The 25534-nt window shown below is 35.0% G+C and overlaps 1 long non-coding RNA gene across 15 annotated transcripts in view; it reads left to right on the top strand.

Moving 5' to 3' along the window:
• LOC105379109 (uncharacterized) overlaps positions 1-25534 on the top strand; it is a 144274-nt gene that overhangs the window by 31155 nt on the left and 87585 nt on the right. For 5 of the 15 annotated variants that reach the window (NR_188317.1, NR_188316.1, NR_188314.1 and 2 more), the window contains 2 exons: positions 3014-3152; positions 3237-3393. The exons of 7 other annotated variants lie outside the window; for them this stretch is intronic. This is a non-coding gene — a long non-coding RNA (uncharacterized LOC105379109). Of the gene's footprint in view, positions 1-3013; positions 3153-3236; positions 3394-25534 lie in introns of those variants that run through there. 3 more of the 15 variants (NR_188309.1, NR_188313.1, NR_188308.1) reach the window with 2 other exon arrangements.

Below are 25534 nucleotides of genomic sequence, written 5' to 3'. Positions count from 1 at the left end.
CATTTTACCTGTGGGCAGGTGATTGATCCTGTCTCCAATTCCCATCTTGCCACCTATTTTTGGACCTCTTTCAGTATCAATTGTCTTAGTTCAGATCCTCTAACAAAAGATGCTCATAAGAGTTTATCTATGCAAGAGATTTATTGAGGAAACACATGTAAAATAAAATGGGGATTGCAGAGCCAGAGAAGGAATAAGACAGGTCTGACTTCTGGAAAAACAGTAGCAAAGAGGTAAGATTAGGAACAGTCTCAGACTGTAGCACATCTCTAAGAAAGACTTGCTCACATCAATAGAATGTCCTTGAACCAAAGTCAGTGGTCAGAGAAGACATATTTTGCAGGAATAGATCTGCCGTTGTATCAATGCTTGGATCATCTCAAGAGAAGCATGATCTTGGCATAAACACTGGTAGATTCAGAGAACAGAAACAGGGCTATGAATCAACTATTTTTTCTGCAGCAGAAAGTCTCTATGTTGTATTTTCATGACTTCCATAGAAAACATAAACGTTTGTGCTGGGTTTTCAGAAGCTATAGCAGGTGGAATGTGAAATGGGAAGCTGTCAAAGTGCAAATGCATGGACATGTGAAGCAGAGTTATGATTAGGAAGTATAAGTAGAGCCAGTATTAGTGATGTGTAACTTTTGAGTGGGATTAGAAGTGAAGGAGATTAAGTCAGAGGCTCAGCTAGAGGCAAGATAATCATGGAGAGTGGAAATACAATGTGAAATGAACACTTGAGCAATTACTTATTTCTGGAGCAAAATCTTTGTGAAACTTGGTTTTGCTAAGTGTATAAAGACATATCTTTAATTAAGCTACCATAAATACTCAATAACTAGGGCTCTCACATTTGCTTGAATAGTTTTTGCATTGTTTGAGGTTGTCTAGCTGAGGAGGTAAAGGAAACTGAGATTGGTTCAAGCCGTATGACATGGTGCAAGGCTACACCTACCTGGAAGGAAGGATGCACAAAGATGCCATCCACTTAAGAAAGCCCTATGCTTGCTCAGAGAGTGTCATTTTTCTTTTTGTCACTGGAAACACAGCATTAGGCTAGTAATGAATTATTACCATCACTTATTAAAGTTCTTTCCATAGAATATACTTGAGTTTGGAATTCTTTGATATATGTCTCCTCCTCCTCCGCCTCCTCCTCCTTCTCCTCCTCTTCCTCCTTCTGTTCTTCTTCCTCCTCCTCCTCCTCCTTCTCCTGCTCCTCAATACTAGGGCTTTAAAGTATAGTACAAATTCCAGAGAGTCAGGATCACGTAATATACAGATGAGTGACCATCAGAATGACTTCAGACAGATCTACATAGGATGTATGAGTTTCTGAATTTAAAAATGTGAAAATGTATTATCTTGTGTCACAAGTTGAGCCATCACATCAATGCTTCTGGAATTTAACTCACTGAAGATAAGGTACATGGTCTATAATTTAGTCATTTCAATGACAACACAAGATTTTCAGACCTTTCTGTTGCTACTACATTTATACAGAGTACTTTTTCCACCTTTATAAAGATAATCATCACTATAATATTCTATGATATAGTTAACTGTATTTAATGTATTTTCCAAGATGATGGATAAATAATCAAGCTTTTTAAAAATTCTATAGCTGTATTACCATTTTAAAATAAATATAAACTACTCTTTATCACCACTGATGTCTCAAGACTAGCAGATAAAAGATTGGCTATAATGTATTATATGACATCATAATATTTATTTCCTAAAATGTTACTACCAAAGTAGATACAAATATTATGCATCATATTATTTTGGTGTCTTTTTTGTGGTACTCCTGCCTGTGAAAAGATCACATATTCCCACTCTGCTGTAATGTATCACGGCCATGAGACTTAGTTTGGTGTATGTCAGTGCCAAGTAGAATATTATTTTTAAATGCCAAATCTTGGTTTAAAATATCCCTGTCCTGTGATATAGTGATTGACAATACTCCAAATGGAAACTGCTTTATTAAAATGGATCCCAGAGTAAGTACCTGTGAAATAGGGTCTCAGTTGGTATATAACGTGATGAAAAAATAAAAAGAATTTAGCTTATACTCAAATTTAAATACTTAAAAATATCTATTTTCAACATGGGCAAAATCACCAAACAAAATATCCTAATTTGTAATGAAAATTGACCAAAAAGTATTGGTCAGGATTCCATCTTGATAGAGTTGCACCAACCCAGAGAAAGTATATATTGATTATAATAGATTTTGCCTCAAAGTAGTAGAAAATGTGTCTAACTCTAGCTCACACTTCAACTCTTAACAGCTGTGTTGCAGTTATCTGCAACACATGGCTAGCTAGCAATTAATGGTTTGGACAAAGAGTCTACATTTACTCTAGTAGTGTTTAAAATATTTGAGTGCACAAACCTTATCAGAACTATCACAGTTATACCTTATCACCCTCAAGCAAGTGGCTAGTCTGAGGCAATGGTATTGACTATGAAAGATGCCCTACCGTGATGGTTAGAGAAGACTACTGACAGGATTTTCAGATTTCTTTTTGTTGAACCTGTTATCCTACGTTGAAAAGCATGAGTGGAATATGCTGACTAATACATAGCTCAGTGTCTCAAAAAATGCTGGTTTAAACTTTAGCCAGATTTAAGGGAAAAAATAGTGCCTATTTGCTCATTGCTTTTTCTGTGTCAACATTGTTAGTTGGTCGTTAAAAGATATCCTGGAGTGAAAACAAGTAAGTTCACAACCACTAACTTAATAGTCATGATCAAGAGTGCAAATTAGCTAGGGTAAAGTTCCAATGTTCCTCACTACAAAAGCTCTAGAAGAAAAATAAAAATACCCATATATCGAATGGAAAGTAAGCTGTATAAATAACATTTTACCATAGGGAAAGGCATTTGTGAAACCGTGCTTACTGCAAAAGCCTAGAATATTTGTTGACAAAATAAATAGCTGACTAATAGTTTTTGAATAAAGAAAATTAATGTCCTTGAAGAAAGAATATTACTTCTTTTTCAGGGTGGATATCCTCCTCCACTGAATGCAAACTATTAAGTAATGAAAAGACAGCACTCCAAGCAATATAGATTTATAGGCCAACCTGGCAATCAAGGGTAACTGACATGAAAATGGATTGCTTCACATTTTAATTACAAAGGTATTAGCCCCATATAATGTTTCTTACAACAGAAGGTCTATTAATGGTTTTTCCATCTTACTGATTAACCATATTACCTTCTAGATACTCTTCAGTACCATAAATTGAAGAAAACACTAACTTTTTGTGGCTACTGTAATTGTCAAAGTATAATTACCTGTGTTTTCTCACCTACGTATTTGAGATAGAGACAAAACCAAGTAAGTTAATCCACTTATAATAAAAATGTCTTCTGAGAATATATTTGTGCTACCTTTTCTGAGGATAACTGTGGTTCAATATTGGTGATTGGGGTTCTTAAATTTTCTTTAATTTCATATGATATTTTAATAAAAAGCTAGCTTAGTTTTGAAAGTAAAACATTATTGTCCGTGAGACTTCCTTTTTCCTTCTCTGTATTTTAAAAGTTCATCTATATATTCAGTTTACTACTGTTACTACTTTAAACATGGACTGTCCTCACCCCTATTATAGAAGAGATCTTAGAAATAGTGACCTTTAGTTGTATTTTTAAATGACCTGTGTCTTTTCTAAAACTGAACTCTCATATGAGTTCTTTCTGTAAATGGATGGCAAGTTAAGTTTAGCAATTTAGTCATGAATTCAGACATAAAATAATTGTTTCATAAATTTCATTATGCTGTGGCATCAAACCAATAAATACAGCCCACACAAGACGTTTTAAGTCACTTACTAAAGACTAGACTTTTCAACTCTATGGCCTTAAAATTGATGGCCTCAATTCTCCACTTGCCTTGTAACCCTGATGGAGCTGATACAAGCATGATCCTCCTCGATAGTAGAAGTGCTATGCTTAAATTAAGTCCTGTGATGGTGCAGAACAAGTCATATATTTAAGTGAAACTGTTTCTCGGGTGAATAAGATACCTTGACATGTCAATGGAATATGAAACTCAATTTCACAAGATTTTTCTAGTGCCAAAAGAGATTTAAGTAGAGCTATCATTTTTAGTCTTAACAGAAAGAATAAGTCTTCCTCTATAGACCTCTGCATTCCTTGCTTCTAAAATTTAATTTTATCATTCCTTATAAAGCCCATTATTCTTTAGGCCTTCATGAAAGCAAAATTATATTTCATCATTGATTTGTTTCCTGTTTCCACTTTTAGAAACTCTTTATTACTTCCAATCATTCCACTGTTCATCCCTCCACCAAATTTAAGGTTCTCTTAAACTAACCAGACAGTTTTCGTAGACCTGAGTTCATTAAAGGAAAAAAAATGGAGGCTTACAGCATTTTTAAACTTATGTTATCTTAAGAAGGCTAATAAATAATTCTACAATCAGTGAAACACATGTTAGAAACATGCCCAGCTGAGTAAAATTGAGACCATTTTCCCTCAAAAATAGCATCAAAATCCCAAGAGGACTCAAAAAATTGAGAAAAAAAAAAGCCACAAATCAGTTTCTAAAAAGTTCTGAGTAGGTAATGAGAGTTTTTCTGCAGTAAGAATTTTAAAATGAATTGAAATTTTTCTTTAATTATTCCAAAATCATTGTGTTATTGTGTCATCATTGTTTATTTCCTAAAGAGTGATTATTTCATGAAGTATTATATAGTGCTTCAAACTTTTAAGTACCTTTTATTCCCAATCTTCTGTGATAACTCTCAAGTGTCTTTAGCTAAGAGCCATTCTTCCACTTATTACACCAGACATTGGTTCATTTGCCCAAATCAAACTTCAGATGTTCTCTGCTTATTTTTAATCAAAATTGGAATCAACATGCCTTCCCCAAAAGTGCTCACTAATCAACCTGCAAGTAATCAAATTAATATGTATACAAACTATCAGATATTCTTTAAGTAGAAAGAAACTAGTGCAATTTCAATGCACTAAAGAGAGCAGAAAAATATTTCACAGTAGAGAAGAGTGGAGAGCGTATGTATATGATTTTTTAAACTGAATTCCCTTCATTAATTAGCATATATTAAGGAACCTCACATTACTTTAGAGCATTACCATTTGGGGCAATGAGTTCATGGGCTGATGTTATGCCACTGCACATCACTGCATCTTATTTCTTTTTAATTTCTTTGATAACTAACATTTTTATAAATTCAAGATGTTTTAATTGTAGGATATACATGCCAATAATGTGATAATAAAGGTTCAAGGGAAATAAAAATGGTGGAGCTGATCCTGGTGGTGTTAGTGTAATTATCAAGTAGAAGAGGTGGTGTTTTTTTATAGTTCAATTAAAGTTTGATCTCTCATTACCTTTAATTACATCTGCCTTTTCTAGTGTGTCTTTTTATCCTGGAAGCACTTTGAGAGAGAAAAAGAAATCATTGAATAATATTCATCTGTAATTCCATGAATTCTCATTGTTGTTTTCACAGTATATCACCCAAGCCAGCACTAGCTTTAGATCAGTCATTGCCGAGAGGTCCATGCACAGATTAAATCTCTTGTTCAGCTAGATATTCAAACTTCACTGCTATTTCTGATGTATGTTGACAAATAGAAGAACACAGTCATATTTTGTTTTACTGTGCTTTGCTTTAGTTCACCTCATAGATACAGTGTTTTGTTTGTTTGTTTGTTTTGTTTTATTTTCAGATTGAAGCTTTGTGGCAACTCTGTGAACAGCAAGTCTGTCAGTGCCATTTTTCCAATAGCATGTGCCTACTATGTGTCTGTGTATGTCATTTTGTTAATTTCTGCAACATTTCAAACTTTTGTATTATTATTATATTTGTTATGGTGATTTGCGATCAGTGGTTTTTGATGTTATTACTGTATTTGTTTTGGGACACCACAAACCACATCCATACAAGACAGCAAATTTAGTCAATAATTATGTATATTCTGACTGCTCCATCTACAGGATGTTCACTGATCTCTCTTTCCCTTCTTAGGCCTCCCTAATTCCTGAGACACAACAATATTGAAATTAGCCCAATTAATAACCTATAATGTCCTTTAAGTTTTCAAGTGAAAGAGTCACATGTATCTCATCTTAAATAAAAATCCAGTAATGATTAAGCTTAGTGAGAAGGATGTGTTGAAAGCCGAGATAGTTCGAAAGCAAGGCCTCTTGCACCATTTAGCCAAGTTGTGAATGCAAAGGGAAAGTTCTTGAAGAAAATTTAAAATGCTACTCCAGTGAACACATAAGTGATAAGAAAAATAAACAGCCTTATTGCTGATATGGGGAAAGTTTGAGTGGTCTGGATAGAAGATCAAACCAGCCACAAAATTCCCTTAAGCTATAGCCTAATCCAGAGCAAAGCCTGGTGAGAAAGCTACAGAAGAAAAGTTTGAAGCTAACAAAAGATTGGTTCATGAGGTTTCGGGAATAAAGCCATCTCCAGAGCTTATAACTGCAGGGTGAAGCAGCAAGTGCTGATGTAGAAGCTCAGCAAGTTATCCAGAAAATCTAACTAAGGAAATTGATGAAAGTGGCCACACTAAACAGGTTTTCAATGAAGATGAAACAGCCTTATATTTGAAGTATTGGAAAAAGATGCCATCTCAGACTTTCATATCTATAGAGAAGTCAGTGGCTTGCTTCAAAGCTTCAAAGGACAGCTTGAACTTGTTGGGGCTAACACAGTTGGTGACTTCAAGTTCAAACCAAAGCTCATTGACTATTCCACAAATCTTGGGGCCCTTAAGAACTATGCTAAATCAATTCTCTCTGTGCTTCATAAATAGAATAAGAAAGCCTGGATGACAGCACATCCATTTACAGCATGGTTTACTGAATATTTTAAGCCCACTGTTGACATCTACTGCTCAGAAAAAAAAAAAGTTCCTTTCTCAAAATATTACTGCTCATTGACAATGCACCTGGTCATCCAATTGCTCCGATGGGGATGTACAAAGATATTAATCTTGTTTTCATGCCTGTTAACATCCATTCTGCAGCCCACAGTTAGAGGAGCAATTTTGCCTTTCTAGGATTATTGAAGAAGTATGTTTTGTAAGCCTATGGCAGCCGTGAATAGGGATTACTCTGGTGGGTCTGGGCAAAATACATTGAAACCCTCTGGAAAATATTCACCATTCTAAATGCCATTAAGAACATTCATGATTCATGAAAGGAGGTCAAAATACCAACAGTAACAGGAGTTTGAACGATGTTGAGTCTAACCCTCAGGGATGACTTTGAAGGCTGTAGGACTATAGTGGAGGAAGTAAGTGTGATGTGTTAGAAATACTAAGAGCATAGCTGGGTGTGGTGGCTTACACCTGTAAATCCAGCACTTTGGGAGGCTGAGGTGGGTGGATTATGAGGTCAAGAGATCGAGACCATCCTGGCCAATATGGTGAAACCCTGTCTCTACTAAAAATACAAAAATCAGCTGGGCATGGTGGAACTTGCCTGTAGTCCCAACTACTCTAGAGGCTGAGGCAGGACAACCTCTTGAACCCTGGAGGCGGTTGCAGTAAGCCGAGATCACGCCACTTCACTCCAGCCTGGGAGACAGAGTGAGACTCTGTCTCCAAACAAACAAACAAACAAACAAACAAAACAAAGAGTAAAAATACTAGAAGTGGAGCCTGAAGCTGTGACTCAATTGCTACAATCTTGGGACTAAACTTGAACAAATGAGGAGTTGCGTCTTATGGATGAGCAAAGAGGGTGGTTTCTTGAGAAGAAATCTACTCTTGGTGAAGACATTATGAACAATGTTGAAACGATCACACAGGATTTAGAATATTACATACACTTAGTTGATAAGGAAGTGGCAGTGTTTGAGACGATATACTGCAATTTTAAAAGAAGTTCTACCTTGGGTAAAATACTATCAAATAGTATTGCATGCTTCAGAGAAATCTCACGTGAAAGAAAGAGCCAATCCATGCAGCAAACTTCATTGTTCTTTCATTTACAAAAATACCACAGTCACCCCAAGCTTCAACAACCACCTTCCTGCTCAGTCAGCAGCCATTAACATCAAGGCAAGACCCTCAAATAGCAGAAAGATCACAGCTCATTGAAGGTTCTGATGATTGTTAGTACTTTTTAGCAATAAAATACTTTAACTTAAGGTATATACATTGGTATTTTAGACATAATGCTACTGCATGCTTTTGTATGCACTGAGAAATGAAAAATTTTGTATGACTCAATTTACTGTAATATTAACCAAACCACTGAAATAAATATCTCCAAGTTATTCGCAATACCTCCATGTTATGCCTGCATCGCTGAAAATTAGATTGTCTGCATTGTTTATTGATTTCCTAGTCCCTTGATAACTTGCCCACTGCCCCCTACAGGATATCCAAAATCTGTTTCACACATTTCTTCCCATGGAATCCTTGAAGGGCTATACTTGATTGAGTGTGACTGGTAATAGTGTAAGCCAAGGAACTTGCTCTGGGAATGTGTGTTCTGTGAAGACAATATCATGTACTTGTGTTGTGCAGAGTTCCTGACTATTGTACAGTTTAGACAGAAAAATTTTAAAGGCTCATTTGTTTCTTTAATATTTTAAATCCCCTTCACAGTGAAATTCCATTCAATTGGAAGGCTCGGCACAGGAAGCAAAACAGATTTCACAGTGACAATGAGTATTGGCTTTATGATGAGAAATTATATAATCCAATTACCACTATCAGTTCACGGCTCACTGGGACTATAAACTCTTATATCTCCTTCCAATTGTCTATTTGGTTTATATGCCTTTCCTTTTATTTCATTTCCCAACAGATTATTATGTCATAATCCTTAGCTACTTTTTGTGGATTATATTTATAACATCTACAAGGCCCAGCTTCCAAGAATAATGTCATATATCTTACAATGTATATTTGTAAAGGTACAATGCTAAAAGCATATGCTAACATATCAGAGAAAACTATGCATACTCACATAAACTGCAAGGACTAGCTTGCACTTCTCTTTGTATTTTTTCCTGCCTCAATTATTTATGGCCTGTTCAGCACATCTTTATTTCTACCATCTGCTTAGTATCCCAGTTACGGAGCAGAAATTGTTTTAATTAGACTTGTCATAGGTGATTCACTAGTTGCTTGAAAAGTTGAAAAGTAATACCTAGGCTAGATTCTGCCAACTTTAACCCTCCATGACTGTTTATTTTTTTCTTGGCTTTTTAAAATAGAACATATTTCTCCATTAAAGATAAATGTGAGCCCGATTCCATTCTTGGCAATATAGTATTCTGTTGTTGGGGTTGGATTACAATCATTATGTTATAAATTCTGCAAGATGACTAATACTAAATAGCTATTTCCTGCCAACAACTTAAAATAGTGGATATTGTATAGCTGAACACAAACTAAAGCATGAAGGTTTTTCTTCAAAGGATGTGCAAATTCACCATGAACTGCATCCAAATGTAAATGACAGGAGAGTTATAATCTGTTCTAAATGTATGTATACTACTTCTTATTTAAACTAATTAACATGGCAATACTTTAAAGTAAAAGTAGATATTTATGTTAGATAGATATCTATGAATTAACAATTATGTTCATCAAATTTATATGGACCACAAAGAGTAAATGGTGTTAGAGAGTTTAAATTGGATAATGCTGTCAGTTGCAACATGACCTGTAAAAGACAGAAATATTTCAACCTCTAGCATTTCTCTCCTTCTTTTTTTTTAATTGAGATGAAATTCACATAATGTACAGCCAACCCCTTTAAAATATACATTCAATGGCATTTAATTCATACAAAATGTTGTGCAACCATCACTTCTTTCTAGCTTCCAAACATTTTTATCACCCACAAAGGAAACTCCATATACCTTAAAGCACAATATCCTACTTCTCTCTCATCAGTGCCTTGCAACTACTAATCTACTTTCTGTCCCTATAGATTTACCTTTTTGGGATGTATCATAAAAATAATATTATGCTATATTTAACGTTTTGTATCTGTCTTTTTTCACTTAGCACAATGCTTTGGAGGTTCATTCATATCCACGATGTAATATATATATTAGTAACTCATTTTTGTTTTATAGCTGAATTATATTCTATTTTGTGAATATACCACATTTTGTTTATCCATTCATCTATTAATGGGCATTTGGATTGCTTCCAGCTTTTGGCTGTTGTGCATAGTGCTGCCATGAACATTTGTGGGAAATAATTATTTGAATACCTATTTTCAATTATTTTGAGCCCTACATACCTAGAACTGAAATTGCTAGGTCATATGGGAATTCTGTGTTTAACTTTATTTTGTTACCCATGTTTTATAGATGTAGAAACTAAGTCTTAATTTCAGTAATATACACAGTATTGGTCAAAAGTTTCAGCAAGATTATGTTTAAAGTCCACTCTAAATCTGAAATTCTATTATTCTAAAATTCAAGACATTCCACGAGGTAGATTCCTCATATACCTTTATTTTCACAGATGTGAAAGAAAACAACATCTCCAAGTCATCTAGCTATGCTGCACCTGCCCATTTCTTGTTGCTTTTTCTTATAACCTGGAGTAACTTAATATAAATCTATGCCTATTTATTTTTCTTAATCTCAACCCCAAAACTTGTGGTTAAATTTGTTGGTGGGACAAAGGAAACAGTTGAACAAGCTCAGACTATTCAAATGATAAGAGCTAAGAATAGAGAAGTCAATGGAAGACTAAAATGTAAACACTTCTTTCAAGACAGGAATTATGATAAACTAAACTTAAAGTTGTGAGTATTGAAAAGAGTGAGGATATAACATGCGTGGCCCAGAATTATGAATTAATGGAAAATGTGAAGGGACACAGTGCAGGCTCAACTCCTACAGCTGGCATAGTTTCTGTGTTTTTCTATTTTTCACTCAGGTTATTTTCCACACTAACTTGATTTTTGGACCATCTCCCTGCTAAACACTTCACATTTCAGTTCCTCTCTGAGCCTTTAGCGGAGATTAAAGTAGCAGTTAAAGCTGGCTATGCCCAACAGTCAAGGCAAATTTTGTTTACAAGATGCTTCCTGTTACAGTGTTTGTATTATCTAAAAAACAGGCAATAAAATCTATGAACTGGAAACCTTCTCTTGTTGTAAACGACTGTTTTAATCAGTATCTTCTGCTGAATAATCTTTCAAGGGCAGTCCAATTTTGATATTAAGAAAGTTATCTGAAACCAGTCTCTAAGTATTTATTGAATTAATGATCAAACACTCAGAACACTGTTGGGCCCCCCAGTGGATACAAAAGTAGTATAAAAAGTCCCTGCTTGTGAGAATTTAACATCTATTTGTGGGGACAAATTAAGCCAATCTTTTTCAAATGGGGAATTAATATGTATGGTTCTGGTATTATGAGATCAAAGTTGGAGAAAACCTGGACCTAGTGTACTTTAATTTGGTGTCATGAAAGAACTAGAACTTAAATTGAGCCTCAAAGAATTTTGAAAGTGTGAAATTATAGGAGAGATAAAAAAGAAAATGATAAAGACAATATGGATAACAGAGAAAGAGTTGACTGAGATTCATGCGAAGTAACAATGGATGAAAATGTACAAAATACACTTAAGGCCTTGCAAGCTGAACAGAGTGGCTTAACTCATTGAGGAAGTCATTGTAGCTTAATGAACTAAGAATGAAATGAGATTGATTTTGCATATACTCATGATGGATATAATTACAAAATTGTTTCCAGAGATAACCGGGAAGCCTGGAGATTACAACTTGATGTAGTCCAAGGATAAAGAGATGAGATTCTAAATGAGGCAGTGGTAATGAAGTGGAATATAAAAGGAAGGAAAGATATAGTTTACATTTAATATGAGTGATATTCATGGTAGCTTTTCCCTATTTTTCACCTCATCAACTTGTTGGTATTGGATATGAGTAAATTGAGAGGTTTTATGACCACCTTTGAAATTGGAAAGTACTGTGGGTAATTCTGTTTTCCTTCATACCATGGTATCATGTCCCCAACTCGTTACTGTTGCTATTTTGCTTTTGTTATCTGGAGATAGAGAGCCCACTTTTCACCAGGCAGACTGCTTATTAATGCTCATGTTGCCCTCAGTTCCTCTCTTGGCCCCACAGACTTCTATAGGCTTACATTGCTGCTGACTTTTAAATACTTTTAGTTACTTTTCAAAATCCAATAGTAACATGCAAAATTTTTCTCTGGTTTTGATGTAGAAAGAAGTCTTGAATGTTTTGTGGTATCGTCATCATCTTTCTTCCTTAATCGTATCTTTTGTTTTCTATCCAGAATCATCTTTCCTCCAGTTCAGTATCTCCTTCAAATCTTCCCACCCAGTCTGCCAAAGATCTTTCCCTGAAGTCAGCCCCACTCCTAACTACCTCTGCATGTTTTTGTACTATAGTTTTATAACAGTGTTGGTGGTAATTTTTTAAAAGGCCTCTGTTCTTAGAATACTCATATACACTTGCCTTTTTCTTTAAGAACTTAAAATATCTCTTTGAGGGAAGGCTGGTGTGCAAATGTCAAGTGCTTTCTTATGTAGTAATTTGAGACTAAATGAGAAGAAAAAAAAACCTCTAGCAATATTGAACATCATTTAGAAAAAAAATCATGTTTAACTAGATCAAGCAATTTCAGCTTTCTTTCTTTTTTTTGAGAGCTTTTCTCATATTAAACTATTCTGATAAACTCTGGCAATGAGAAGAAAAGGAAGATGTTAAAAGCTACAGCCAATAGGAGCTCCTCATTTTGGAAATAATTTTTGCTTTCAAGAATCAATACCAAAAATGTTCCTGTGAAAACTCTATGATTTAGCAGTCACAAAAAAACTGTATTTTCTCCATTTTGCAGATTTTTTTCAATGCTGTTCTGGTTGAAAGCTTGATGGTCTAATAAAGTTGTCATATACAATCTGAGTGTACAACTACAGAAACACTGATTTTGTAGAAAAGCATTCTGAGAACATAGGCATTACTTAATATAGAGTACTGTAAGAAATTATGTCTTTTTATTAGACATTTAAATAATATATATTTTGAAGTTCAAAGTTCATATCTATAAGAGTATCAGTACTTTCTTCAAGTTGTAATAACACTGAAATAAGTATAGAATCTCAGCTTTCAGACTCATTAAATTGAGATATTAAAAAAAACTTTTCACAAATAAATTTCAGTGTAATCTTGTGAGGCATCAATAGTTACAGTAATGTCATGTAAGAATCTTCATTACTTTAAGAAAAATTTGCAGAACAAGTAAAGAAGCCTTCAAAGTCTTTAGACAATTGGATATCAATACTACCATGCCAAACAGAAATGAATAAAGGCTTAATCTAAATTATTTGTGGCAATATTACTGCTATTAGGACTTAGGGTTATCCCTAGCCCCTTTTCCTATTGCACAGCCTCACCTATTTTCTTCCAGCTAGACAATTCACACACATTCTTTTCTCTGCAGGACATATTTTTTTAGCTTGACTCCTCATCTTGCATTCTGTTTAATGCTACTTCTTCCTCAGAGAAGCCCTCACTCAATCTCCAGATTAATTATTATTTGTCAATAGCTCTGTGCTCTGTAGACTGTTAAATCTATGAGGACTAAAAGGAAGTCAGCTTTTGAGCTCCATAGCTGGCACGGGGTACATTTTCCATAAATACGTGTTGAGTGAATATTTAACACATAACCAGCATATTGCTATTGTCATCATTTTTCAGTTTCATTTTGTCCCTAGAATTATTTATGAATGGAAGTTTATAGAGATAAATGCCAGAGTTTTTCAACTTTCTTTAAGAATATGGATCTTTTAGCATTTGGCAGCAGAAATAGTCAGAAGTAGGCAGAAGGGGGTGTACATTTCCCCTGATTAACTTACTATACATAACTTTTATTGGCACAGTAAAATCTGTTGTATTTTAAAAAAACAACTCAAAGATAGAATAATGAATAACAATATAATTGGATTAATGTGGGTGGACTAATTTGTTTTATCATCACTTAAAGGACACTTTGTTTTTAGATGTTCTAGAAGTGTGGTGTTCACATTTGCCCCCTTTGCTACTTAAATCCAGTTTGTTTCTAGATTTTCTGATCATTTTAATTTGGTTTATTATATTTTACCATATGACAAGCCTGAATATTTCCTTTCCCAACACATACCTACTTTTCTCATTAGAATATGAGACCAGTCAAGTTCTGAGTCTATGACTATTTTGCTTACCAGAGCCCACCATGAGCCTTAAACGAAGTAGAGGCTCAATAATTGTAGAAATGGTAGTGTATATTTCATGCAAAGCAGAGGAAATAGACTAAAAAAAAAGAAACTTTTTGGGAAAACTCTTCAACTTTGCAGAGGGGGCCATTTAGATCAGTCATCAGGAAGACACACTTGCAGGAGGCGAGGCCAAGGATCTGGTAAAGTGATTGTATCATTGAAGAAATGGCATTAGATTACTCTGCAACCTAAGCCAAAACTTAAAAGAGTTTAGCTCGTAAGGTTTCAGAAATCTCAGCATGGGCTCAATGTAGAGCAGACTATTCATTCATTCTATCCTTCAGCAACTCTTTATCAACCATCTATCATTAGATTCAGTTCTAGTTTGGGGTTACAACTGACCGTTATTGCTGTTACAAATATAAACTGATTATATATTTAATGCACAAATTACTAAATACTTCAAATGTAGTCCGAGCAACCCACATACCTTCCAAAAATTGTACTGTATCCATGTTGTTCTGGGTTTCATTGCTCCTTTGGCCTGACCCTGCCCTGTTCTGTCAAAGAAGATGGGAGAAACACTACCTTGTGGATTGAAGGCTTTATCTTATTTAGTTTCCTTTTCCTGGAGCCAAATACAAGCCTTGGCACACAAATGGAGCTCAGTAAATGTGACTTTATAAGCAATGAAATTTTCTAGTCCAGCTCAGTTAATCAATTCTCTGTGTAACCTTGAGGAAATCATGTTTCTCTCTAGTCTAAGTTTCTTTATCTAATAGGTAGAATATATGTCTACTTTATAGTTTTTTTCTCTTTTTGAGGAATAAATAATTGTGGAAATGGTTTGGTACAAAACTTGGAGCATAGTAATTACACAGAAACTTTCCTCTAATATTTTATTAGAAATAATATTAACACTTTCATAATTACTAAGTTTCCATATCAAAGATTTATTTTAAAGATAAAATTAAATTCTGAATGTGATTTCTAAAACAAATTCTAAAAAGCAATTGATTATTCTGAAGCAGGTGACTCATGAATCACACTTTGAAAACCCTGACTTTAAGACATGTTATCGAAACTCTGAAGGATACCACTCAATTGAATTCTTTCCATGGAGTCTAAAACACCACTGGGTAGTAAGTGAAGCAATTGAATGGATTCATTAATTCTGTCAGATGACTAGGGAACCAGGTGGTGCCTGCCACCTATGATTGACACAGCAGCAAATACAATCCACCACAATGACGGCCCTGCAGTACTTTCCCAGCTAGAGTAGACTGTCTAATTTCAACTTTTGTAGAATAAAAAATTTAATCTCGCATTTTATCAATACATTTTTTTAATGCAAAGAAAAAAATATAGGTGGGCCAGAAATAGCAGTTGGTACCTTTTAACATTCTTAAAGAGAGAAGAAATAACATTGGCTACGTATTATTTTTAAGTACTTTAGACACTTTATGTATAATTTTATCAGGATGGAGGCTGATTCAGTTATAACTTAATAAAATATAAAAAATAGTAATAACTACCTTTTATGCAGTATATAATGTGCCAAGAACACTATGTTATTTAAATTGTATTATATTATTTAATAATTTGTATAATATTATTTGGTATATAGTAGTATTATCTATTTTGTACCAAAAATTAAAATTAAGAACCAGAACAAAATTAAAAATCCCTAATGTCAAATATTTGGTTACTAAATGGTAGATATGATACAAAAAATAAAAACAAGTATCAGTGACATTCAAATCTCAGATTCTTACTATAGCCTTGCATTGGCCCAAAGGAATAGTGATGCTTAAATGTATGTTACTAAAAGACTGTTTATAAGTAATCATTAAGTAATCATTGGGGATTTTTTTTCTGTTTAAAAAACATGATTTCTAAAATCTTGAGATATATTAAAACTGCAAAAGTGGCTATATAATCAACATGTACATTCTTGAATTTGTGAATTGACTGATTTGTCAGATTTATCATTTTTTTCCGTGTATTTCATTCAAACTTTCTAACAAGATCATACTCATGAAAACAACATGACAGTTCTGACAGGCATCTGTTTACTTCTCAGTTTGTTTCCTTGTTCTGATTCACTGGTCTGAAGAATTCTGGATTTAAGTAGCAAAGGGGGCAAATGTGAACAGCACACTAAACTTCTCATCTTATTAGAACTCTTATTGTTACATACCCTCGGTTGCATTTTCAGGATGTAAATGAAATTATTCCAGAATCACTGCCTTTTAAAACTCATTATGGGGGAGAATGAATGTTACTGCATGTTGAACACACCCAAGGGTAGATGAGGAATCAATGAGTTATCACCAGCCCGCAATATTACCTAATTCATTAGGCCAATGAAATAAAATAGAGAAAAAACAAAAATAGCTGATAGAACAAAGAGAGCAACATAAATTATGAAAAATTACATATGAATAAAAAATACTGAATTTTATCAATACACAGGCTCCTGACAGGTAAATTCATTTTTCTCTCATCACTACTTTATGTATTCTCAGCGGAGTTATACACTTTGATTAAAAGAGTAAAAATAAAAAGATTTTAATATTAAATGTTTTTGACAGCTTTTATGTGGAAAAATTACATCAATATAGATTGGTATCATGGAATTTTACATAAAAATTGTGGTGGGATGTCCTGGAATTAGAGGCCACTCTCTATCTCCTGCATTTTTGTAACTAAGTGGATTCCATGTTGTGAAAGCTGATGCTTAGAAAGAGTAAAGATTTAATTATTCGTACTCTGCTGTACTTACAGAATTTAAAACCTGGATGAATTCTTGGAAACTCCTCTTTTATTACCCCTTTAGGTATAGAGAAGAAAACTGAGGTCCTGAAGGTAAAATGACTTGTTTGAATTAATTGACACAATACTTCTTAAACTATAGCCTTCTTGTTCCTATGCTAGCTAGCATTTTCCAAAGAGTGACCCATAGAAATTTTGTCATACCAGATTCTTTAAGGAAATACAAAGATATGCCAATTCATGACTCTCATTTGAAGTAACCATTCACTATATATATAAAATATAGATTATTTTAATAGGTAAGATGTTCCCATGGAGTAAATATAAAAACACTTAACAATAGACCTCGCACAGTGGCTCACTCCTGTAATCCCAGCACTTTGGGAGGCCAAAGCAGGCGGATCACAAGGTCAGGAGTTTGAGACCAGCCTGGCAAACATGGTGAAACACCGTCTCTACTAAAAATACAAAAATTAGCTGGGCGTGATGGCAGGCACCTGTTATCGCAGCTACTCGGGAGGCCGAGGCAGGAGAATTGCTTGAACCTGGGAGGCGGAGGTTGTGGTGAGCTGAGATGGTGCCACTGGACTCCAGCCTGGGCAACAGAGTGAGACTCCATCTTAAAAAAACAAAAACAAACAAACAAAAAACCACTTAACAATAAAAATCTCTCTTCTACCATAAACTTAATTTGCTTAGTTACCTAGATTCCCCTCCATGCTCAACTATAGATACTATTGTTGCTAATGTCTTAGGTATTTTCCTAGAGTGCCTTTATATCAAAGCAAATATAAATATATATTTTGTTTTACCACTCTTACACAAACAGTGGCTAGTGATTAAAATGTCGTGCACTCTTACTTTTTTCACTAACTATAAGTTTTGAATTATATAATAACTATAACTTTTGATTTTTTTAAAAATGTGGTGCACTCTTACTTTTTTCACTAACTATAATTTTTGAATTATATAATAACTATAACTTTTGCTTTTTTTTGCTATGTCTGATAGATTGTTCCCTACTAATACACAGAGAGCTTCCACTTTGTTTTATACAGATATGTACATAACTTTTGCTAGCGTGCATGTACTGAGCATTTATGTTATCTCCAACTTTTTGCTAATGCATATGGTTGACCATAAAAACCACTGTACAGTTTATCGTTAGGTACTTACATGGATATATCTAGAAAAAATTCTAGAAGTAGGATATCTGGGTTAAACGTATATGCATTTGCACTTTTGTAATCTATAGAGGTTGTACTGATAATGTATGAGAGTATCCTGTTTCTCCACAGGTACATAATTGACACATATTAGGATTTTCTAATCATAGTTTCTAAAAAAGGATATTTAGGCACTGTTTTAATAGGCCGTTTTCTTATTAGAATTGAGGTTAACTAGCTTATCGTATGTTTAAGAGCCATTTTTCTCTTTTGCTGTGAACTTCCTAGTCAAAATTAAAATTTATTTTTCATTCTTACTAACCATCTTGTTATATATTTGTAATTCTTATATATTAGAGAGAATAGAACTTTGTATTTGACAGAAATTGGGAGTATTGTCTTGTCCTCAGTTTATCATTATGCTTTGAATCTGCCTATAAATTTTTGTTAATGCAAACTTTTAAAAAATGTGCTATTTCTCTCTCTGTCTCTCTACATATATATATATACACACAAACACAAATATATATATGTATATGCTGCTGGACTTAAATCATTAGAAAGGATTTCCTGATTAGATTAAATCTTTGACTCATTTTTAATTTACCTCATTGTAAGGTGTCAGATTTATATTAATCCTATTTTCTTGCTCAGATGTCTGTCCCTTTGTCAGAGTCTGATATAATAAATAACATATTTTCCTACTGAGCTGAGATGCTATGTTAATCACTTACTACATTCTCATATGTGATTGGGCCTATTTATGATTTTTATTTTCTTCTATTGTCCTCCCTGAAAGCTTATGTCTTAACACTATACTTATCTAATTATTAGAAATTTATAATGTTTTATTACATGAAACAATTAGGATGTATACATTATTTTTCAAAAATTTCTCTAATTTTCTTAGTTGTTTTTTCACATAAAATTTAGAATTAGTTTGTTTAGTAAAATAAATAAACAGCCAACTAGTGTTTGGTATTTTCATGGGTATCATATTAAATTTATGAATTACCTAAAAAATAATTATGATCTATTTTAATATGTCTTTCTTTTCAAGAACGTCTTGTTTTTTTCAAGATTTCTTTTGTTTTAGTGAGAATTCTTCATGTTGTACACACTCCTAAATATGTCATTAATATTTTAAGTTGGAAATTTCTTGCAGTATATTGTATGTGGAAATTATTAATTTATATACAGTAATTTTACATAACAAAGTCTTTTTTTCTTTTATTATTATACTTTAAGTTTTAAGGTACATGTGCACATTGTGCAGGTTAGTTACATATGTATACATGTGCCATGCTGGTGCGCTGCACCCACTAACTCGTCATCTAGCATTAGGTATATCTCCCAATGCTATCCCTCCCCCCTCCCCCCACCCCACAACAGTCCCCAGAGTGTGATGTTCCCCTTCCTGTGTCCATGTGATCTCATTGTTCAATTCCCACCTATGAGTGAGAATATGCGGTGTTTGGTTTTTTGTTCTTGCGACAGTTTACTGAGAATGATGATTTCCAATTTCATCCATGTCCCTACAAAGGACATGAACTCATCATTTTTTATGGCTGCATAGTATTCCATGGTGTATATGTGCCACATTTTCTTAATCCAGTCTATCAGTGTTGGACATTTGGGTTGGTTCCAAGTCTTTGCTATTGTGAATAGTGCCGCAATAAACATACGTGTGCATGTGTCTTTATAGCAGCGTGATTTATAGTCCTTTGGGTATATACCCAGTAATGGGATGGCTGGGTCAAACGGTATTTCTAGTTCTAGATCCCTGAGGAATCTCCACACTGACTTCCACAATGGTTGAACTAGTTTACAGTCCCACCAACAGTGTAAAAGTGTTCCTATTTCTCCACATCCTCTCCAGCACCTGTTGTTTCCTGACTTTTTAATGATTGCCATTCTAACTGGTGTGAGATGGTATCTCATTGTGGTTTTGATTTGCATTTCTCTGATGGCCAGTGATGATGAGCATTTTTTCATGTGTTTTTTGGCTGCATAAATGTCTTCTTTTGAGAAGTGTCTGTTCATGTCCTTTGCCCACTTTTTGATGGGGTTGTTTGTTTTTTTCTTGTAAATTTGTTTGAGTTCATTGTAGATTCTGGATATTAGCCCTTTGTCAGATGAGTAGGTTGCGAAAATTTTCTCCCATTTTGTAGGTTGCCTGTTCGTTCTGATGGTAGTTTCTTTTGCTGTGCAGAAGCTCTTTAGTTTCTTTAGATCCCATTTGTCACTTTTGTCTTTGTTGCCATTGCTTTTGGTGTTTTAGACATGAAGTCCTTGCCCACGCCTATGTCCTGAATGGTATTGCCTAGGTTTTCTTCTAGGGTTTTTATGGTTTTAGGTCTAACATTTAAGTCTTTAATCCATCTTGAATTGATTTTTGTATAAGGTGTAAGGAAGGGATCCAGTTTCAGCTTTCTACATATGGCTAGCCAGTTTTCCCAGCACCATTTATTAAATAGGGAATCCTTTCCCCATTGCTTGTTTTTCTCAGGTTTGTCAAAGATCAGATAGTTGTAGATATGTGGCGTTATTTCTGAGGGCTCTGTTCTGTTCCATTGGTCTATATCTCTGTTTTGGTACCAGTACCATGCTGTTTTGGTTACTGTAGCCTTGTAGTATAGTTTGAAGTCAGGTAGCACGATGCCTCCAGCTTTGTTCTTTTGGCTTAGGATTGACTTGGCGATGCGGGCTCTTTTTTGGTTCCATATGAACTTTAAAGTAGTTTTTTCCAATTCTGTGAAGAAAGGCATTGGTAGCTTGATGGGGATGGCATTGAATCTGTAAATTACCTTGGGCAGTATGGCCATTTTCACGATATTGATTCTTCCTACCCATGAGCATGGAATGTTCTTCTATTTGTTTGTATCCTCCTTTATTTCCTTGAGCAGTGGCTTGTAGTTCTCCTTGAAGAGGTCCTTCACATCCCTTGTAAGTTGGATTCCTAGGTATTTTATTCTCTTTGAAGCAATTGTGAATGGGAGTTCCCTCATGATTTGGCTCTCTGTTTGTCTGTTGTTGGTTTCTAAGAATGCTTGTGATTTTTGTACATTGATTTTGTATCCTGAGACTTTGCTGAAGTTGCTTATCAGCTTAAGGAGATTTTGGGCTGAGACAATGGGGTTTTCTAGATATACAATCATGTCGTCTGCAAACAGGAACAATCTGACTTCCTCTTTTCCTAATTGAATACCCTTTATTTCCTTCTCCTGCCTAATTGCCCTGGCCAGAACTTCCAACACTGTGTTGAATAGGAGTGGTGAGAGAGGGCATCCCTGTGTTGTGCCAGTTTTCAAAGGGAATGCTTCCAGTTTTTGCCCATTCTATATGATATTGGCTGTGGGTTTGTCATAGATAGCTCTTATTATTTTGAAAAACGTCTCATCAATACCTAATTTATTGAGAGTTTTTAGCATGAAAGGTTGTTGAATTTTGTCAAAGGCCTTTTCTGCATCTATTGAGATAATCATGTGGTTTTTGTCTTTGGCTCTGTTTATATGCTGGATTACATTTATTGATTTGTGTATATTGAACCAGCCTTGCATCCCAGGGATGAAGCCCACTTGATCATGATGGATAAGCTTTTTGATGTGCTGCTGGATTCATTTTGCCAGCATTTTATTGAGGATTTTTGCATCAATGTTCATCAAGGATATTGGTCTAAAATTCTCTTTTTTTGTTGTGTCTCTGCCAGGCTTTGGTATCAGAATGATGCTGGCCTCATAAAATGAGTTAGGGAGGATTCCCTCTTTTTCTATTGATTGGAATAGTTTCAGAAGGAATGGTACCAGTTCCTCCTTGTACCTCTGGTAGAATTCAGCTGTGAATCCATCTGGTCCTGGACTCTTTTTTGTTGGTAAGCTATTGATTATTGCCACAATTTCAGATCCTGTTATTGGTCTATTCAGAGATTCAACTTCTTCCCGGTTTAGTCTTGGGAGAGTGTATGTGTCGAGGAATTTATCCATTTCTTCTAGATTTTCTAGTTTATTTGTGTAGAGGTGTTTGTAGTATTCTCTGATGGTAGTTTGTATTTCTGTGGGATCGGTGGTGATATCCCCTTTATCATTTTTTATTGTGTCTATTTGATTCTTCTCTCTTTTTTTCTTTATTAGTCTTGCTAGCGGTCTATCTATTTTGTTGATCCTTTCAAAAAACCAGCTCCTGGATTCATTAATTTTTGGAAGAGTTTTTTGTGTCTCTATTTCCTTCAGTTCTGCTCTGATTTTAGTTATTTCTTGCCTTCTGCTAGCTTTTGAATGTGTTTGCTCTTGCTTTTCTAGTTCTTTTAATTGTGATGTTAGGGTGTCAATTTTGGATCTTTCCTGCTTTCTCTTGTGGGCATTTAGAGCTATAAGTTTCCCTCTACACACTGCTTTGAATGCGTCCCAGAGATTCTGGTATGTTGTATCTTTGTTCTCGTTGATTTCAAAGAACATCTTTATTTCTGCCTTCATTTCGTTATGTACCCAGTAGTCATTCAGGAGCAGGTTGTTCAGTTTCCATGTAGTTGAGCGGTTTTGAGTGAGAATCTTAATCCTGAGTTCTAGTTTGATTGCACTGTGGTCTGAGAGATAGTTTGTTATAATTTCTGTTCTTTTACATTTGCTGAGGAGAGCTTTACTTCCAAGTATGTGGTCAATTTTGGAATAGGTGTGGTGTGGTGCTGAAAAAAATGTATATTCTGTTGATTTGGGGTGGAGAGTTCTGTAGATGTCTATTAGGTCCGCTTGTTGCAGAGCTGAGTTCAATTCCTGGGTATACTTGTTGACTTTCTGTCTCGTTGATCTGTCTAATGTTGACAGTGGGGTGTTAAAGTCTCCCATTATTAATGTGTGGGAGTCTAAGTCTCTTTGTAGGTCACTCAGGACTTGCTTTATGAATCTTGTTGCTCCTGTATTGGGTGCATATATATTTAGGATAGTTAGCCCTTCTTGTTGAATTGATCCCTTTACCATTATGTAATGGCCTTCTTTGTCTCTTTTGATCTTTGTTGGTTTAAAGTCTCTTTTATCAGAGACTAGGATTGCAACCCCTGCCTTTTTGTTTTCCATTTGCTGGGTAGATCTTCCTCCATCCTTTTATTTTGAGCCTATGTGTGTCTCTGCATGTGAGATGGGTTTCCTGAATACAGCACACTGATGGGTCTTGACTCTTTATCCAATTTGCCAGTCTGTGTCTTTTCATTGGAGCATTTAGCCATTTACATTTAAAGTTAATATTGTTATGTGTGAATTTGATCCTCTCATGATGATGTTAGCTGGTGATTTTGCTCGTTAGTTGATGCAGTTTCTTCCTAGTCTCGATGGTCTTTACATTTTGGCATGATTTTGCAGCGGCTGGTACCAGTTGTTCCTTTCCATGTTTAGCGCTTCCTTCAGGAGCTCTTTTAGGGCAGGCCTGGTGGTGACAAAATCTCTCAGCATTTGCTTGTCTGTAAAGTATTTTATTTCCCCTTCACTTATGAAGCTTAGTTTGGCTGGATATGAAATTCTGGGTTGAAAATTCTTTTCTTTAAGAATGTTGAATGTTGGCCCCCACTCTCTTCTGGCTTGTAGGGTTTCTGCCGAGAGATCCACTGTTAGTCTGATGGGCTTCCCTTTGAGGGTAACCCGACCTTTCTCTCTGGCTGCCCTTAACATTTTTTCCTTCATTTCAACTTTGGTGAATCTGACAATTATGTGTGTTGGAGTTGCCCTTCTCGAGGAGTATCTTTGTGGTGTTCTCTGTATTTCCTGAATCTGAACATTGGCCTGCCTTGCTAGATTGGGGAAGTTCTCCTGGATAATATCCTGCGGAGTGTTTTCCAACTTGGTTCCATTCTCCCCATCACTTTCAGGCACACCAATCAGACGTAGATTTGGTCTTTTCACATAGTCCCATATTTCTTGGAGGGTTTGCTCATTTCTTTTTATTCTTTTTTCTCTAAACTTCCCTTCTCATTTCATTTCATTCATTTCATTTTCCATTGCTGATACCTTTTCTTCCAGTTGATCGCATCGGCTCCTGAGGCTTCTGCATTCTTCACATAGTTCTCAAGCCTTGGTTTTCAGCTCCATCAGCTCCTTTAAGCACTTCTCTGTATTGGTTATTCTAGTTATACATTCTTCTAAATTTTTTTCAAAGTTTTCAACTTCTTTGCCTGTGGTTTGAATGTCCTCCCGTAGCTCAGAGTAATTTGATCGTCTGAAGCCTTCTTCTCTCAGCTCGTCAAAGTCGTTCTCCGACCGGCTTTGTTCTGTTGCTGGTGAGGAACTGCGTTCCTTTGGAGGAGGACAGGCGCTCTGCTTTTTAGAGTTTCCAGTTTTTCTGTTCTGTTTTTTCCCCATCTTTGTGGTTTTATCTACTTTTGGTCTTTGATGATGGTGATGTACAGATGGGTTTTTGGTGTGGATGTCCTTTCTGTTTGTTAGTTTTCCTTCTAACAGACAGGACCCTCAGCTGCAGGTCTGTTGGAGTACCCTGTCAAGTGAGGTGTCAGTGTGCCCCTCCTGGGGGGTACTTCCCAGTTAGGCTGCTCGGGGGTCACATGAGGAGGCAGTCTGCCCGTTCTCAGATCTCCAGCTGCGTACTGGGAGAACCACTGCTTTCTTCAAAGCTCAGATAGAAATGCAGAAATCACCCGTCTTCTGCGTCGCTCATGCTGGGAGCTGTAGACGGGAGCTGTTCCTATTCGGCCATCTTGGCTCCTCCCCTAACAAAGTCTTATAACATCATTTTATTTTGGGATTAGTGTTTTAGCTGATTCTCTTGGGACTTCCGGGCATACAATTGTGTCATTCACATGTAAATCATCTTACTTTTTTTTCTACAAAGTTTTTCTCTTTTGAGTTGACTTGTATTAAATACAATATTTAATAACAGCAATGAGAGTAGGCATTTGTCATTCATTTTTTACGTTAATAGAAATGCCTTTAATATTTTCCCATAAAACATGATGATGGCTTTGGGCCTGAGAATACTCTATTTTATAAAGTAAAATATTTTATGTATATACATATATATATTCTTTTTTATTTTTATCCAAAATTTTGCTGAATTTTTAGTTTCTATAGAGATCATATATTTTTTATAAATATTAATATTTTATATTATATTAATAGTGATAACTAATATTAAAACATTCTTAAGTTCCTGAAAAAAAACTTATTATGAGGGCTGTCATTTTAATAAGCTGTATATTAATATTACATTAAGAATTTTCTTATACCAAATATAAAAGTGCTCTGATTTTTTTTTGGTAAAGTTATAGTCAGGTTTTTTTATCAAGATTATACTCATTTGTACGGAATTTGGAAAAATTTCTCCTTTAGGATAATTTAATTGTCTTTTAA

The sequence above is a fragment of the Homo sapiens genome, chromosome 5, assembly GCF_000001405.40.
Source record: "Homo sapiens chromosome 5, GRCh38.p14 Primary Assembly".
NCBI classification, from domain to species: domain Eukaryota; kingdom Metazoa; phylum Chordata; class Mammalia; order Primates; family Hominidae; genus Homo; species Homo sapiens.
The sequence above is the reverse complement of the archived record's forward strand: the minus strand, read 5'-3'. Positions and strand labels throughout refer to the sequence as shown.